The sequence below is a fragment of the Homo sapiens genome, chromosome 5 (genome assembly GCF_000001405.40).
Source record: "Homo sapiens chromosome 5, GRCh38.p14 Primary Assembly".
NCBI classification, from domain to species: Eukaryota; Metazoa; Chordata; class Mammalia; order Primates; family Hominidae; genus Homo; species Homo sapiens.
In genome coordinates this window covers 23,823,855-23,829,854 of record NC_000005.10, presented here as the reverse complement: position 1 = coordinate 23,829,854, position 6,000 = coordinate 23,823,855, and the positions used below count along the sequence as shown (strand labels likewise).

Genomic DNA, 6,000 nt, shown 5'->3' with positions numbered 1-6,000 from the left:
AGAATCAGCAAAATAAGCCCCAGCATTCACATTGTAGTCAAGATCATTCAAGCAAAGCTATCTTCAGTAGGAAATTTTCCCTGTAGAGAGCATGTGCATTTTGATTTTACCTGACCTTGGACTGATCTTTTACTCATTATAATAGTAAAAAACACACCCCTGGGTGGAGATTTAACATTCTAATGAGATATCCAATGTATGAAAAAGCATGTACAGCTACTGCACATGTGCACCCAGAGGACCACCCATAATAACATGCTTACTAGTAACACTTCTTCACATTCACTTATGAATAATTATGTAAGGCTTCTGATATGGTTTGGCTGTGTCCCCTCCCAAATCTCATCTAAAATTGTAACTTCCATAATTCCCACATGTCCTGGGAGGAACACAGTGAGAGGTAAATAAATCAGAGTGGTGGGTTTTTCTTGTGCTGTCCTCCTGAGCGTGAATAAGTATCACAAGGTCTGATGGTTTTACAAAGGGCAGTTCTCCTGGACATGCTCTCTTCCCTGCCATCATGTAAGACGTGCCTTTGCTCCTCCTTTGCTTTTTGCTATGATTGTGAGGCCTCCCCAGCCATGTGGAACTGTGAGTCCATTAAACCTCTTTTTCCTTATAAATTACCCAGTCTTGGGTATTTCTTTATAACAGTATGAAAATGGACTAATACAGCGCCCATAAAGGGAGTTTTCCTAGTGTCAGTTTTGTGGTCTCATCCTTATAAGCAGCCCATCCTGAATCCTCTCTCAGTGTGTACTGTCTATTCTTCACCTAACTTTTAGAGTATTCTTTCTCCTGGCAATAAATTACTCTATGCTGTATCTCCTTTGTTGTATGTCTCTTGTTTAAATTCTTTTAAACTAAGAAAACAAGAATCAAGGTTTCACAACAGCCATCAAGAGCAGGAGCTGAGTTAATTTTAATTGTCAAAGATTTGGTGAATACGAACAGTAGTTCCAAAGCAGTAATCAAAATAGTCTGACTCTCAGAGACATATGACATTGGCTAGTCAATCATGTTGTCTCTAGAAAACAAATAGATAGGCAATCTACTGAAGTCTTAATTGATCTGTATAAACTGATATATCTTTGTAATATAAACAACTGCCCTTCAAGGGAAGCACCAATTTCAAAGTTTGCAGCTGAAAAGAAGATAACTTGATTATAGCAACTGCACACAGTCCGTATCTTTGTGCCAATGCTTTAGTTTGGAATGGTCAATAGCTCTCTGATACTACAACTTTCTTTTTCCAGAACTTCACTCTGTAGCTCCCCTCACATTTGTGTATGTTAGCTGCTATGGTATTTGATATGATTTGACAATATCCCCACCCAAATTTCTTCTTGAATTGTAGCTCCCATAATCCCCATGTGTCATGGGAGGGACCTGATGGGACGTAATTGAATCACGGGGGTGGGTATTTCCTCTGCTGTTCTCATGAAAATGAATGAGTCTCAGGAGATCCAGTGCTTTTATAAAGGGGAGATTTCCTACACAAGTTCCCTTTTTTGACAGCTGCCATTAAGACGTAACTTTGCTCCTCATTTGCCTTCTAATGTGATTGTGAGGCCTCCCCAGCCATGTGGAACTGTGAGTCAATTAAAACCTCTTTTCTTTCTAAATTACCCAGTCTTAAGTATGTCTTTATTAGCAGCATGAAAAGAGACTAATACAGTATTCTCAGGTTTTCAAAATTTCAGATAATGACTTTTTATAAATGATAAAACCCCAGATTAATCCATTTTTTAATGCCCAGAGAGGTATGCCACCATAAGACAACCTTAAAGTATGTAGCAGTAATTTTGTGCCAGGTCCTGGGGATGGGGACACTATTAAAAGAAGTTAGTAAATGACAAGAAAATAATTAGAGAAGGTTGGGATAACACAGCAAAAAGGAAAATAGGCTGGGGAAAGGGCAATCCGTGTTTTTCTGTAGCAAATTATTTAGTACAGCTCTTCACCTGCAGTAAATTAGAAGGTAGAAAATGTATAAATGAGCTTTTAGACTTAAACAGAGTCTTCCAGGCAGCATATTGATTATATGAGATATTGTGGTACTACAAGAAAGATATTAACTCAGAAATTAACTGAGAAAAGAACGGAAAAGCTTCAAAGTAGAATTTAGAGATTAATATGCAGGGACCAGAATTTGCTAGTTTGGAAAATAAAACTTTTTCTATGTTCAGACTCTCATGTCGGTTAAATATTTTCACATTAAGACATAACCTAAAGGGTAAGACCAAATCAACATTGTTACTATGAAAATATTTACTAAAAATTCTAAAATAATTCAGGTTTTCCCCAGAAGTTAGTTTCTGCTGGATAAATAGGCTTTAGGTCTCCTAGCAGCCATGGCACACCCATAGTTGGAGTAAACAAGCCTAGACGGAGAGGGAAGTTGGGACATAAATTTTGCTTCTGGCTTTTGCTACAGAGTAAACTTGAATCAAAAATCAAGGAAGCTAATGAATATTTGAGAAAGTTGTATTTACAAAAGAATTGCCAGTCTGAGTAAAGTTGATGGGAAATGTAAAAAGTGATAAATATCTCTGCCCTGCCCCCCAACATTCTGTAAGAAGAAAATATTTTGAAAATGTTGATTGAAGGGCATATTTTTCAGTGATCTCTTTGAATAACCAGCATATCATAGGGAAGGAAATCTCCCCAGAAAGAAAATTCAAACTATAAAGAAAAATGGTTGGAGAAGCCCTTCCCAGGGATCAAAAGCAGAATTAAGTCAAGGAAAATTCCCAGAACCTAATAACATTTTCTCAGCAAGATTTCACAATATTCACAGAGTATGATATGCACCTCCTCTTTGTTTTCCCTTTTAAAATGAGAGTGTATTTAGTTTATGCTAAGATTCCATAATTGTAATTAGTGTATGGATAAAGAAGATGTGGTACATATACACAGTGGGGTACTATTCAGCCACAAAAAATGAATGAGATCCTGCTATTTGCAACAACATGGATGAGACTGGCGATCATTATGTTAAGTGAAATAAGCCAGGCACAGAAAGACAAACATCACATGTTCTCACTTATTTGAGGGACCTGAAAATCAAAACAATTGAACTCATGGACGTAGAGAGTAGAAGGATGGTTACCAGAGGCTGGGGAGGGTAGTGAGGGAGTGGAGGAAAAGGTGGGGATGGCTAATAGGTACAAGAAGTAGAAAGAATAAATAAGATCTACTATTTGATGGCACAACAGGGTGACTGTGGTCAATAATAACTGTACATTTTAAAATAATTTAAAGAGTGTAATTGGATTGTTTGTAACCCAAAAGATAAATACTTGAGAGAATGGTTACCCCCTTCTCCATGATATGCTTAGTATGCATTTCATGCCTGTGTCAAAATATTTCATGTACTCCATAAATATATACACCCACTGTGTACCCACAAAAATTTTAAAAATATCTTAAAATATTTTTAAAAACGGGATAACTTTTCTATAGATCATGAGAACCTAGGCTTTAAGCCTGACACGAACAGTTGAATGAGATTTGGGGACGTTTTGGTATTAGGGAAATGTAAAATTTGCATACCATGACTCATTATGTAAAAGATGGCAATTCTTTTTTTTTTTTTGGTCCCAACTTTTTAGTAGCCCCTTGTTGTGTTGTAAACTTACACTGTGGCCATATCCTTACAATGGATGGAGTCTGTTGCCCACCATTTGACTTTGGCCATTGCCTTATGTGGAATGGATGATGGCCCCAAAAATGTCCCAATCCCAGACACCTGTGAATATTACCTTATTTGGAAAAGTATCTTACAGTCATGTTTCTTGTCACAATTTGGACTGCATACACGGTATGACTGTGGTCCTATAAGATTATAATGACACTGAAAAATTCCCGTCACCTAATATTTAACGTACTATATTTCAGAGTGTATGCTTTCTTATTATTAAAGAAAAAAAAGGTTAACTGTAAAACAGCTTCAGGCAGGTCCGTCAGGAGGCATTGTTATCACAGGAGATGACAGCTCCTTGAGTGTTATTGCCTCTGATGGCCTTCCAGGGGGACAGGATGTGGAGGTAGAATAAACTGATGTTGATGATGCTAGCCATGTGTAGGCCTAGGTGAATCTGCATGGTTGTGTCTTATTTTTAACAAAGAAGTTTAAAAATAAATTGATAATAAATAAAATAAATTTAAAAACTGGAAAAAGCTTATAGAATAAGGATATAAAGAAAAATATTTTTGTACAGCTGTACAATGTGTTTGTGTTTTTGGATGTTATAAGAGTACGAGTCAAAAGTAAAAAAAATAAGTTTATAACATAAAAACTTTCAGTAAGCTAAGTTTAATTATAGAGGAAAGTAAATATTTTTAAATAAATTTAGTAGTGCTTAAGTGTACAGTGTTTATAAAGTCTACGGTAGTGTACAGTGTTTATAAAGTCTACGGTAGTGTACAGTAATATCCTAGACCTTCACATTCACTCAGCACCCACTTGCTGACTCACCCACAGCAACTTGCAGTACTAAAAGCTCCATTCATGTTAAATGTCCTGTACAGGTGGACCACATTTTGTCTTTCACACCGTATTTTTACTCTGCATGTTCTATGTTTAAATATATTTAGGGGCCAGGCATGGTAACTCACGCCTGTAATACCAGCAATTTGGGAGGCCATGGTGGGTGGATCACCTGAGGTCAGGAGTTCGAGATCAGCCTGGCTAACATGATGAAATTCGTCTCTACTAAAAATACAAAAATTAGCTGGGCATGCTGGTGCACGACTGCAATCCTAGCTACTTGGGAAGCTAAGGCAGGAGAATCACTTGAACCCAGGAGATGGAGGATGCAGTGAGCCGAGATGATGCCACTGCACTCCAGCCTGGGCAACAGAGCAAGACTGTCATCTTAAAAATAAATAAATAAAAATAAATAAATTACCATTGTGTTACAATTGTCTCCAGTATTCAGTATAGTAAAATGCTGTGTAGATTTGTAGCCTCGGCGCAGTAGGCTGTACTGTGTAGCCTAGGTTTGTTGTGAGCTATACCATCTTGGCTTGTGTAAGTACTCTATGTTTGTACACCAGTGAAAATGCTGAAAGATGCATTTCTCAGAACATATCCCTGTCATTAAGGGAGGCATGACTGTATTCACTTAAGAATCTTTAGAGAAAATGCTTATTCTAGATTATTCTTTGGACCCTAAATGCACATGTATCCTTATAAGAGAGAGGTAGAAGTAATTTTGAGAGAAAGGGCCAGGTCCAGGATGTCACATCTGTAATCCCAGCACTTTGGGAGGCAAAGGTTGGCAGATAGCTTGAGTCCAGGAGTTCAAGACCAGCTTGGTCAGCATGGTGAAACCCTATATCTACAATAAATAAATAAATAAATGAATAAAAATTAGCTGGGCATAGTGGCACACACCTGTAGTCCCACCTACTCAAGAGGCTAAAGTGGGAGGATTCCTTGAGCCTGGAAAGCGAAGGTTGCAGTGCAGTGAGCCCAGATCACACCACTGCACTCCAAGTCCAGTCTGGGCAACCAAGCAAGACCTTGTCTGAAAAACAAAACAAAACAACATAAAACAAGATAGGATGTGGCCACAGAAGCAGAGATTGAAATGATTTGGCTTCAAGTGAAAGAATGATTACAACTAATACATATTATAACTTTCTTTTGTTCATAGAATATAGGTGTAAATAACTGTCAATTTTGAGCCCTCATCTTAAAATTTATCATTTGTTTTGTTCTCAGGGGTTCCCCAGACCACACTTAGGCTTGCTAATTCACTTGAAAACATCACAGACATCAGAAAAGTGTTAATACAGTTGCAGTTTACTTACAGCAAAAGAAAACAGATTAAAATCAGCAAGGAATAACAAGGTACACAGGGTGGATGGAGTCCAGCAGAAAGCAGACATGGACTTCCAACTGTCCTCTCCCAGTGGATTTGTATGAACAGTGCTTATATCCCACAGAAACAGTGTGTGACAACGCATGCACAGTATTGCCTACCAGGGAAG

General features: G+C 37.8%; 1 long non-coding RNA gene across 1 annotated transcript in view; it reads left to right on the top strand.

Moving 5' to 3' along the window:
* The first annotated feature begins 570 nt into the window (after positions 1-570).
* LOC107986377 (uncharacterized) overlaps positions 571-6,000 on the top strand; it is a 57,078-nt gene continuing 51,648 nt past the window's right edge. Inside the window, exon 1 of the long non-coding RNA XR_001742503.2 lies at positions 571-591. This is a non-coding gene — a long non-coding RNA (uncharacterized LOC107986377). The remainder of the gene's footprint in view (positions 592-6,000) is intronic.